Source organism: Homo sapiens, chromosome 2, assembly GCF_000001405.40.
Source record: "Homo sapiens chromosome 2, GRCh38.p14 Primary Assembly".
Lineage (NCBI taxonomy): Eukaryota > Metazoa > Chordata > Mammalia > Primates > Hominidae > Homo > Homo sapiens.
Window position 1 is genome coordinate 19,638,974 of NC_000002.12, and position 12,674 is coordinate 19,651,647.

At 42.5% G+C, this 12,674-nt stretch overlaps 1 protein-coding gene across 3 annotated transcripts in view; it reads right to left on the minus strand.

Moving 5' to 3' along the window:
* LOC124905977 (uncharacterized) overlaps positions 1-12,674 on the minus strand; it is an 82,330-nt gene that overhangs the window by 16,139 nt on the left and 53,517 nt on the right. For 2 of the 3 annotated variants that reach the window (XM_047446558.1, XM_047446557.1), the window contains exon 3: positions 5,786-5,887. In XM_047446558.1, the coding sequence (XP_047302514.1) occupies positions 5,786-5,887 (102 nt within the window). Of the gene's footprint in view, positions 1-2,238; positions 5,888-12,674 lie in introns of all 3 variants that reach the window. The other variant, XR_007086240.1, reaches the window with a different exon arrangement.

Consider the following 12,674-nt stretch of genomic DNA (forward strand, 5'->3'; position numbering starts at 1 on the left):
TTTTCTAATTACAGAAACAATAATCTTCACAGAAAATCATTACAAATCACTTGCCACTCTCATGCCCAGAGATAATACCATAAACATTTTGGTGAATATCTTTTTCAGTCTTTTTTGTGTGCAGGTATAATTGGCCTTTTCAAAAAATGTGATCATCCCATCTATAACACTGTATAATTTCCTTTTTATTTAAAGTTGTGTCATAAGTATTTTTTTACCAACAAATGGAGTTCAAGATCACCCTTGATACTGTTATTATCCTTATCTCACTCATCAGAAACCGAGGCTCAGGAAAGCACATCTCTCTACCCAAATCACACGGTTACTGATGGCAGAGTAGGATTTGAATCCAGCTCTCCCAGTGTCAAGCCCAACACTCTCTGCTTCTACAAAGTCAATAGGTTAATTATCAGTCAAAAGGCCAAGAATGCCATAGGCAAGGGGATCTGTGGCTTGGGGTCTTCAGGATTTACATGATCCTGTCAGAACACAAAAGTTTAAAAGAAAGTGTGATTGTTTGACAGGTTTCTAGAATACTGGGTAAGTTCTTCAATTATTCAAGCTGCCAAGAGACAAGAGGAATCAGGATCTGGGCAGAGGAAGTGGAGACCTTTCCAAGCCAAGCTTGCATTTACATTTATAAGTGAAGCCCCTTCTATCATCTTCAGGGGAGGAGAGAAGCTCAGTGGCTGTGGTGTGAGGGGAAGCATTCGTTCTTCACTCCATCTCCCAGGAAGCCTACACCAACATCTCTCATATCCCCTTGACCCAGCACCAGAAGTGGAGATGAGGTCTTCCATGATTTTGAGTCACAGACAAGAAATCTCCTTGAGGGTTGAGCAGAGGTGGGATGTGAGGTTAATAACTACAGCTAACGGTGAGCAGGGAAGTAACTATATACCCTGACATCAGGGGTACCAGAAAAGACTTTGTACCACCAAATCTATCTTCACCTTTAAAAAACCTCCTTTAAACTCTCATTTCAATATTCAGAAGTAATAATTATAATAAATAATATAATCAAAATTGTTGACAGCATTTGTTAAGTACTTGTGCTAAGAACTTTAAATATTCAATCCTCATTCAATCCTCAAAACAATTAAAGACATACGAATTATGTTTATGCCTATCTTATAAAGGAATAAACCAATGCTCAGAGAGATATGCCCAAGGTCCTATACTTGGTGTCTGCAATTAATATCAGTATTTTGCTTGCTTTTTAAATCATTCTTTGAAGGAGGTATAATACCTACCCCCACCACCCCAGCCGTGAATTGTTCGGTTTTCCCCTATTAGACAAGACATACAAAATTATCGCCTACTGACTCAGTTGTGACTTAAACAGCTGTGATGCATCACAGCCTAGATGTATGGTTGTTCTATTGACTGGCTTTCTTACCAGGAAATTGATGGGACCTCTGGTCTACTTCCTTAGGACTTTCTATTCAGGAAGCCTAAAACCTTGTTAAAAGGTTGCCATTTGCAGTATCATTCAAGATGTTGATTAGAATTAAAGCTCCTGGGCTAAAAGTACCCTTAAAAGTCATCTAATCAAACCCTTTCATTTAACAAATGAAAAGCCAAGCCCCAGTGCTCTCACTGGGAGTGTCAGTGGCTTTACTTCTACCGCATGATACCCTTTAAAGATGAGACTCAGAGAAACAAGCTGATTTTTACCCGGCTCCACCAGGCTTTTATCATCCATCACTGGGGGAGTAGACATTATATCTGGCAAAATGCCCTCTGATTCTCTGTTTGCGCAAAATAGTACCAAAAAAACTAATTAATCCCTGCCAGGCACAGTGGCTCAAACCCATAATCCCAGCACTTTGGGAGACCAAGGAGGGTGGATCACCTGAGGTCAGAAGTTCAAGATCAGCCTGGCCAACATGGCGAGACTCTGTCTCTACTAAAAATACAACAATTAGCCAGGTGTGGTGGTGCATGCCCGTAATCTCAGTTACTCGGGAGGCTGAGGCAGGAGAATCACTTGAACCCAGGAGGCAGAGGTTGCAGTGAGCCAAGATCTCGCCACTGCGCTCCAGCCTGGGTGACAGAGCAAGACTCTGTCTCAAAACAAAACAAAAACAAACAAGCAAACAAACAAACTAATCTCATACTCAATCTCTTTTCTAGAAGGAAAAATAACAGCTCTGAAAACTTTAGGTAGGAGAGTAACCGTGAGTATTTAGTAACTAGGAATGACCTAGGAGTAGACGAAATGGAAACAATTTATACCATCATGCTGCAGAGACACAGAGGTCGTCTTTCCCTCCTGAACTCTTGCAGAGAATCGGAGTGTTTTAACCTCCAGAGATTAATGAGTTTAAGAGACTGTGGCAAGATCATCCCTGGAATAGACATTGATGTCCTCACAATGGTCACTATTAGTGCTGAGCTACCATCAGGTGGTTCTGAAGACATCAGACAAGGGATGAAAGAAAATAATTTCACAGATGTCAGTCGAAGATTGTTGCTGAGAAAAGTCAATATGATCTGAGGAAGACTTCATCCCTGATTGACAAAGCTTAGTGGTGGACGTTAGAGCTATTTCAGTTTGGGCTTAAATGTAGAATGGAACTCTATTTTAATTTATACATTAGTAAAGATAACATGCCATTTATACAGATAGACTGTTTCTCCAGGGCACACTGAAGGGTTTTGTTTACATGGGAGCTGTAACACACCTATTTCTTGGTATCATGTGAGGCAAATTCATCAGTCTGAAGTGAGGCTTTTTGGAGGTTTCTGGAGATAAGAGAAGATATGAAATTTGAGATTTGTGGTCATTAGTTTAAAGAGAGTTCAATCATTCAATCAGCCCAGTTATGACAAGATGTTTTTTTTCCCTCTGGTAGTATAGAGATGCTCAGGTACAACTCAGTGTAAGGAAATGGCTGAGTTTAACCAGGTTGGGAGTTTAGGGACAAGGGTAATATGAGGGAAAGGAAACAAGGGAGGTAGTAACTTTTTAAAGTAGTGAATATGGCACTGATGAAGGAGCCACAGCTTGATCAGGAGAAGATTGAAGCCACAAGGAAGGCGAGAGAGTAAGAAAGCGTCAGGATCAACGGATCGGGCATCCCAATGAGGCCAGAGAGTTGTGAGGTCAGTAGAGCGTAGGGGTAAATGAAGTGAAAGTCTGATAATTGAGCCCCTTATTGGGAGCCAGACTTATGAGTAAGTAGTGTGGTCTTTGAACTGTGGTCCATAGAAGGCAGAAACCCCTCTCATGCATTTAGAGGTAAAGGTGAAGTGCTGAAAGAATCTATAAAGGTGAATTATTTTTAGTGGATCTAAAGTACTGTTCTCCCTGCAGTCTGCCTTGCAGGTCTGTGCTAAAAGCCTGGAGTATCCTCAGACCATCCCTAAAACCTCAGTGACCATAAGAAGCCCATCCAGTGGCTCCCCTTCTCTGCCAATGGAGGCATTTCCATAACCAAGCTCTGACTATTCTTCCATCCTCTGGTCAGTCCTTCTCCAAATCCATTCCCAGCTCTCTCCTCTTCTTCTACAAGTGAATATCAAACTCATTCCATGTGTTAGGCCCTGACAATGACACTAAATTGCAGACTCGTGCTTTGCTGCAGCTGACTCGGCATGAACAAGCAAAACATATATGTGGGACATACATGTTCACATGGAGCAGAATGGTGGGGGAAAGAGTGCTCAAATGTCCTTACAGTGAGAAAAGGGGGTGGTGGGGTAGCTTTCTCCTACCCTCAAGTCCCCTGCCTCCTCTATGCAGCAGTTTTCACCTCCCCATGTTCTGACTGGCAGGACCAAAAGAAGCACGGACCCTATTGCCATGTGACATCTCAGTACCCATCCTACATAGTCAGTGGAGTAGGCCAGTGGAGTAAGCCAGTGGAATGGACAAGGGCTTATTTCCATGATAAGCTCTAGGAGACTTTTCTCTTTCTTTATAGACCAACTACATAAATAATAATAATAAAAATCTATAGTGCAGAGAAGTCAAAGGATGCTTCCTTAACACCTTTCATATCCTAGCAGCTATACTAGAGGCTTTCCCAATGGTAACTACTGTTAATGTTCATAATGACTTTGAAATGCTTGGGAATAACTAGCCTGGCCCTATTTACACCAGATGAAATTGAGACTCTGAAACCAAATAGCTTGTTCAGGATACCATAGTTAGCAACAAAGTTGCTGAGACTTGAACCTCAGCCAGTGACCCCCTAAAACCCATACTTCTTCTATCGTCATACCATGCTGCCTTTGGTGAAACTGGAGTTAGGGGAAGGGGAAGAGAAACCGTGGTTTCTGTGAAACACAGAAAACATAGTTTGGGGATGTTCTCCAGAAGGCTCAGCCTGAATCCACATCAAGTGTCTTTGAATGCCTGTAATTTGCGTATTGTTCTTGAGCACTTTCTGATTTGTCCTGCTATAGCAAAGGCAGAACAGCAGCAATATTTGGTTTCAGTGAATGCCAGACCAGGCTGCAGCTCAAAGAAATGCATGAAGAATATCAGTTTCACTTTCTGTCTTATGTTTTAAACAAGGCTTTTCCCCCAACAAGCATGTGCCACTGAAGACGTCCTTCATAAGCCCCCAGTTGTGATTTCGCTTGAAGAAACCATGTGCTCTGATGAATTTTAACCTTCACAAACCTATAGATTGCAGAGCATTTCAGCCTAAATCATGTGAAAATTAAATATTCAGTTTGAAATTTGCCAGTCATCTTTCTGGGTTTTTCCCCCTTCTTGAACCCATCTTCAAAATTAAGAAATATGATTTCAGAATGTTAATTACCATTAGCTAAAGTATTTTTATTTAGAATTTTAAAGATGAAGCTTAAATTATTTCAATAATATTGTCTTCCCCCAAAAGCATTTAGTTTTAAGGTGAAATTACTTATCAGTTCCTATATAACACACTCAAGGATCACCTATTTCAAAGGTTTCTCCTTACCAGCTAGGAAACACTGCCTGGGTGGGTCAGACAGCCTGCGGCTGGGGATTCAGGACAGTTCAGCTAGAGCCTCCCACCTGTCTAGCAATGTGTGGTAACCTGGGTCATGAGAACTGCTGGAACCTATGGCCTGGAGATAGAAATGAATTATGGGGGCTTCCACCCAGAGGCCAAACCACTAGCCCAGGTACTGAGCCCTGTTTCAGAATCCCTCACAACTTGTGCTTTCCTTTGTAGCTGTGTATCTATCCTGACTCCCACCTTGGACTCCAGCCTAGCTGTGGAGGGACAGCAGTGGCATGTGACCTGGGCTGTAAAGAAAGGACACAATATGAGCGTGCAGAGATGGAGACATGGGCATGCTGAGGAGAGAAGCAGAAGACCCCCAGGGCATGTGGCTGAAATGTTAGCACCTGCAACTTGAAATGAACATAGAACTGAAGGAACCCTCAATTTCATGTCATGTGTCAATATAGAGCCAGCAAATGTGAGAGCTGGGAGAAATAAGCAAGGTTAAATCCCTGTGGTGGTCTTTGGCATGTCAAGTATAACGGAGGTTGGCACAAGCAAAATGCTTTCTTCAGTTCCAAATTCTAATTTCCCTCCAGAGAACAATCATATTTCCCTTCAGCTTACTTAGAGTGTGAGTCCACTTGCGAGAGAAAAATCAGAAAAGAGAGAAAGAGAAAATGAAGAGAAGAAAAGGCAGCAAAGACATAGAGATTTCTCACTCAAGTGGGGCTCAGCACTTTATCTGTAGGGTGTCCTTCCCAAAGCCCACAGTGCCAGTCTAATCATGACAAAAAAAATATGACAAGCCCAAATTGAGGAACAGTCTACAAAATACTCACCCTGTACTCCTCAAAGCGATCAAGGTCATGTAAACAAAAGAAGATGGAGAAACTGTCACAGTCCAAGGAGGGAGGGCTACTGAGGGCAACATGGCTGGGATCCTGGAAAAGAAAAGGATGCTCGTAGGAAACTGGTAGAATCCAAATAACACCTTTAGCTTGGTTTACAGTGATGTATAATGTTGAATTCTTAGTCCTGACAAATGTAACATGGTTATATAAGATGTTAACATTAGGGGAAACTGGATGAAGGGTATACAAGGATTCTGTGCTATACTGGCAACTTTTCTGTAAATCTAAAACTATTCAAAAATTTAAAAGTTATTTACAAAACTTAGGAGAATCAAAGGAAAAGCAACGTGAGCCTTAAAATATATTATTTGACTTCACTGGAGAGAAAGAGAGCTGTATAAGACTTACATAAAAGGGACCAGCAGTATATGCTTTGGAGTTCATGGACAAAGTTACATAAACCTATGTGCTGGCAAAGAGAATAAAAGTTTCCCAAAGTATCTTGCACATGAGTATTATTCTCTACCTATGGGTGAATGGAGGCTTTTAGGAGGAAGGATAACAGCAGCTGATATTTATTGAAAGACTCTGTTTAAAGAACTTTAAAGTTCCAGAACTTTAAAGGCAGGATCTCTTTTAAACCTCACAACCATCTTACAAGGTAAATGCTATTATTGTCTCTCCAGAAAAAAAAGGACATTGGTTACATAGAGTGAGTTTAAGTAACTTACTCTAGGTCTACACAGCTAGGAAAAATGAGTTGGGACTTGAACAAAGATGGCTGGTGCCTGAGTCACATACACCATGATACTCTTCTGTTTCTCAAAAAGCCATCCACTTCCCCAGGATCTGAGCCACCTCTATGTTCTGGCTCCCAGCTAGGCCCTAAGGATACAGTGAGAAGCCAAACAAATATGGTATACTAGATACATGTTTTCAGTCTTTATTTCATTTGCTCCTCATAATAATTTAGAGATGCAAGTGGAAATACTATTCTTATTCCCATGTTATAGTGAAGAAAAGTGAGACCCAGGATGCCAAGCAACTTGGCAGAAGCTAATGATGGGGAAATAGGGTGGGGGGTTGGGCCGAAAGTCTACCACTGAATTCCCTGAGCTCCTAGCTTTCTGTTTGTGATAATCCTCCAATCTGGTTGATTACTAGTGTGCTCCATCCCTGCCTTTAAGCTTCATTGATATTTCACAGTGAAGAGAATTTTGAGCAGGACTTGGATCTGCAGAAGGAGCCACCCTGAATGAGTGAAAATTTGGTTTGCAGAGGAAACCTAGAGACCAAGGAGGCTGAGCCATTGAGATATGCAATGTGAGCCCTCCTGGGAGAAGACTGGGGTCCTGATGAGGTGAGTTCCTGGTGGGACTCTTACATCTGTCCTGTCCACACAGATGTACACAAGCCTGCTTCCTGAATCATGTTCAACAAAGAAATGCAAAGAAATGCAACAAAGAAACCCAAAGAAATGCAGCACTTTACCTCCCAAATGCTGCGGGTGCTTCCCCTGAGTATTTTTAAGGTCTTGTTTGGCAAAGAGACTGTGCTGGTTTCTAGAGATCAATGAGCTGATGGTCATGCAGGAGGCACTCAGCATTTCTGACTGGCATCCTAGCCAATGTCAGAAAGTCAAGGTAAGGGAGGTCATGGAGTCCTGGTGTAAGGGAGTCTTTATTATTCCACTTGGTTATTAAGCATACAATTGTAAACTTTCTCTACACTTTTATTAGGTTGGTGCAAAAGTAATTGAGATTTTTGCCATAATGGCAAAAATCTCAATTACTTTTGCACCAACCTCATATAATACAAAGATTAATTGATAATATGAAAAAATATTTTGAATAGTTGTGTTACTTCAATTATATTTGCTTATTTGTGAGTGGAGTGCATTTATTCTTCATCCTTACGACTAATTAGGACTTAGATGAGTGACTGCCATTCATTTATTTATTCATTCATTCAGAAACATTTACTAAGCACCTATTGAGTGCTGGATATGGAAATGTAGGAAAAGGCAGAGTAACTAAGATGCAATTTCTGTCTTCAAGAAGTTTACAAGTAGAGGCGCTCCCAGACATGTAGAGAAAAAAGTGCAATACAGAGAAAACAGGGCAAGAATCATCATGTGCCCCCAGGTACAAGGGGCCTTAAAAGAGAGAGGGAACAGCTTGGCTTGGGGAAATCACACAGAGTTTCATAGAGAATAAGATGCTTCTGTTGAATTTGAAAGAAGAGTGAGTTTTCCAAAAGGACTAGGGGAGAAAGGTCATTCCAAGATAACTTTGCTGAGGATCAAATGTAGCATATGAGTTGCAGAAATACGGGCAAGAATGGCCTGTGGATTAAGATACTTGTTCACTAATCATAAACTCAAGGACAGAGAAAATGTGGGGCATCTGGCTGTGTACACAGAGCAAGGCCACAGCCCAGACAAGACAAACAGCAGGTACAAAGGAGGCAAGGGAATGATGTGGTCCTGGGTGTTTTGGGAAACATTAGAGGCTTGGCCTGGAGGGAAATTGAGACAGGGGAGGAGAGACCTTAGGCTGGACAGGTCAGCCATATATCAGATGTAGTCTTAAATGCCTGATTTGGGTTCCATATCATACTGAAAAGTAAGCTCACTTACCCATCAAAAGAGACCTGCAGACCACAGAAACTATCAGCAAATATCACTGGAGAAACAAAATCACAGGCTCCTATTGTCTGGAGCCATTGCACTGGACAGTCCCTGGGTTTGAATCAGAAAGAGAAGGAGCAGCAGATTTGAAGGGCATTGAAAATCCTGCAACAATCACCTTAACAATCGCCATGAAACTCTAGTCTCCAGAACTCAGATCTTCAGGGCTGGGCCTCGAGTTACAAGCGTCAGGTAGAAGGGACCTGTTTTTACCAACCCCACATCCTGGCTAGGGAAGTGAGAGTAGCACATGAAGGAAAAGAGATAGAAGACTTCAGGTCCCGGTGCCACCAACTCTGCAGTGGGGGATGAGAGAAAGACAGAATGGGAAAAGCAGGCACAGTTGGAGGAACATCTCCAGCCCTGGCTTCTGAGAAAAACAAGATTCTAACTAATAGTAATCACTACTCCATTTTCACCAAAAGTAGAGAATTCCCCATTTTAGAGATTTTTAGCCTTTTTTTTTTTTTGGAGTCAAAAATGTGTATGGCATTTTATGAAAGTTCTGTATCTCCGGAATACACAGATCTGTGTATAATATTCCACAAATAGAGTTTATGAACCCACTAAAATCAATGGGATCCAAAAACTCTAGTTGAGCCCTTTGCTCTGAATCCAATGCTTTTAGGGCTCTCGTGGGCTACTCCTGGAACAAGGAATAAGCAAAATTGTGAGCCAGCTCAGTCCTCCGAGTTACATCCCCAACAACAGGTGAGGCCTATGAAGCCACTTCTTTTTTTTTTTTTTGAGACCTGGTCTCGCTCTGTCACCCAGGCTGGAGTGCAGTGGTGCAATCTCAGCTCACTGCAACCTCCACCTCCTGAGTTCAAGCGATTGTCCTGCCTCAGCCTCCCAAGTAGCTGGGATTACAGGTGCCTGCCACCATGCCCGGCTAATTTTTTATATTTTTAGTAGAGACGGGGTTTCACCACATTAGCCAGGACAGTGTCGATCTCCTGACCTTGTGATCCGCCTGCTTCGGCCTCCCAAAGTGCTGGGATTACAGGCGTGAGCCACCGCGCCCGACCGAAGCCACTTCTTTACAGGTGTTCGACCACCATGCTTGTTGTATAGAGGCCTTAAAGTTTGCCCAGCTCTGAGTCTAAGTCCAGTCACCTCTACAGATGGTACATTCTGTTCTGGAGGCAGACAAAACTCAAACTGATAGCATTAGAATCATATCTTTTATCTCTCTGGGTACACCTAGGGTCTGAAATGTAGCACCATGTCAGTTTGCTCCCACCCTACACTGGGATCCCTATGACATTGCACTGAATCATCACTTCCCAGTAAAAGGATTTAAAACATTGCAAAATGAGGCTGGCTGAGTGAGGATCCCTGAAGCACTGTGTAACCTGCTGACATAACAGCTGGACTACAGCCCAGTGCATGGGCAAGGCCAACACGAACCCTTGACATCCTACCCCTGGGGGATGCTGAGCCTCCATCTGCCCTTTCTCTTCTTCTCCACATACCTTCTCACCTTCCCTTCCCTTAATATCTGACTGTTCTCAAAATTTGTTCTCTAATAATTACTTTTTCAGGCAAGAACGTAAAGCACTCAATCTTTTTATTGACTTATCCTGATCTCTGTGAGCCTAAAATTCCTGAGATTGAAACCCCCATGATACATCTCCTACTCTGCCAAATGCCCCCTCCTCCTGCAGACAAAGGAATGCCAGAAGTCCATCTACTTTTAGCCCAGTCCTCCAGACAACAAGTGCCCCATCTCAAGAAGCACTGGAGAATCCAGTCCTCTCATTCTCCTCACATACTACAAACCTGGAGTCATTGAATAAGCATCCCCTAATAGGCAAGAAAAAATTTCATTCCTAGTGGCAGTCAGCAGGAGGCAGAGGCTCTTCCAGTCTAATGACTTGCAAATCAAAAGCATGAAAACCAGAATGCACCTTTGAACCTCTTTCCCATCCAGCCTAGATGTCCTCATAATTTTCTCCCATAGCGTTCCTGGTATTTTTGCTACCAGAGCAATAACCTTCCCCATGCATTTTTTTACATGTTGGAGGAGGAGCTATCCAGTGATCTCAAAGCATATGTTTTTGATTCTCATAAGATTATGGATACCAAAGGAATAAAAATGGAAATCACTACTGCCAAGATATGAAAGAAACTTTGCATAGTAAAATAATTTAAACCTAACATTTGGACCCAATAAGGCAAACGCAATGTTTTTTCCATATTTTTGGAAAATGTGCATTTTCTTTACATTAAGTGGTACCAATAAAAAATAATGATTCTCACTCCGTTTATTTCTATAAGTTAGATTGGCTTATAGTTTTCCAGGACATGGTTTTCTATCAAGCTATATGGCAAACACCTGGGCATAAAATACACTCAGCTATTTACTTCCATGTGGGAAAAATGGGTCACCATTCCTTTCTTTTGAATCTAGAGCAAAGGTCAGCTGAAACCAGTTAGCATATTTAGTACTCAGTATCTGCCGAGAATGAGTGTTACATCAACAATTTGTGGTGATGGTGAGCAAGCCCAGGAAGTTCCTTACAGATAGGGAGGGCAAGTGCTTTCCAATTCCAGGCTCGGTGATTCTGCAATACATGCTGGTAAGAACATTTGACTCATCCTGGAACGGGATAAAGAAACACAGAAGACCAAATAATGAAGAAGGACTAGAAAACATTTTTGTACGTACTTCATATGTGAAGCTACTGCTCTGGGGGGAGATCCATCCAGTGAAAGCACGGGCCTGTAAATGCTAAAGAAGCAGTGGCCGAGGAGGATGAGGAGATGGGGAACTGGGGAAGTGGGGAGGAGGGATGGAGAAGGGAAACAGGAGAGAAAAGAAAGAGAGGGGAGACGAAAAATGGAAGAACGAGAAGAGATTAAATAATGGTTGAATATGGAACTCACATTGTTAGAGAGTCTTAGAAGATCTCCCTCCAGGGCTGAGGTGGTCAGAAAAACCAACGTCAGCCTGGAATGGCGGGGCGATCACTAAGCTCAGGCCAGGAGCCACAGCTCCACCACTGCTGTAACTCGCTGTACACAAGTTTCCAGCTACTGATGACTACCTTTTCTCACCAATGAAATGTGACAAATTCCCTCCTCACCCACCTCTGAGGCCTGTTGGAAGGCTCAAAACAAGAAGAATGCAAATGAGCTGTGATAGCTATAAAATATTCCACATGTGGAGTGTGAAAGGTGGATGGAGTGGAAGATGGTGAATTATTTCTTATTCCTTGGCTTAAGTCTCAGCTCTTTGTAAGTGTTCATGTTCTTGGTGGCTATGTATTCAGACTAAAATAAAATCACCTTCAATGCTTTGCCCACCAACAGTAGGAGCCCCAGCATCTCTGGCAATATATCAGAAGATTCTTAGGGTGGTTCTATTTGTCCCAGTTCCCTCTAGCTCCAATTTCCCATTCTTCCTGAATTCTTAACCCTGCTCCAGTTTCATCTTCTGCAGGTGTCGGAATTTCTCGGCCCATCACTGGAGCCTGCCTTAGTTTTTGCACGTTCCCCGCAGTACTACGGACACTAGCCTTGGCAGGTAGAGACTTTCCATGGGAATTTGAAGGTATAGGGTGGGGTTACACTGCATCACAACAACCAACCTAAAATTAAATGCCAGTGACTCCTTTTTTAACACCCCTTGCTTGTTAAAAACTCCTCACTGCCATCTCTTTGCAAAGAGCCCCAACCCACTGCCACCCAGATTGAATTCGTTTTCCTTCTCTTGTATCCCATCAAGCATCAGCCCCTCCACTTCTGTCACTCTTCTCCCTGCCCCTCTTGTTTGGTTCTGGCCTAGGGGAATCACATCTCCTGGGGAATTTTTTTTTAGATACCCATGCATAGACCAATCACATCAGAGGCTCTAAAGGTGGGGTACATGCATGCATATTTTTTTCAAAGCTCAGATGATTCTAATGCACAGCCAAGATTGGAAGCCATATCCAGTCTAGCTCAGTTAAGCCATGTCCTGGGGGGAAGCTCACCTTCCACACTCCAAAAAGTAATCAAAGTATTTAGCAGAACAAAAGACAATTCTCTCCCTCAGAGAATTGATGCCAGTTTTTTTTTTAAACTGAACATTACTTTCCCTGCCACAGTGTTATCTTAAGCAATTTGCCAATGATCCACACTTTATGATCCAGAGGTCAGGATCATTCTCCAATGTGAGCATTTCTTGGTGAATCCCTTGCTCTC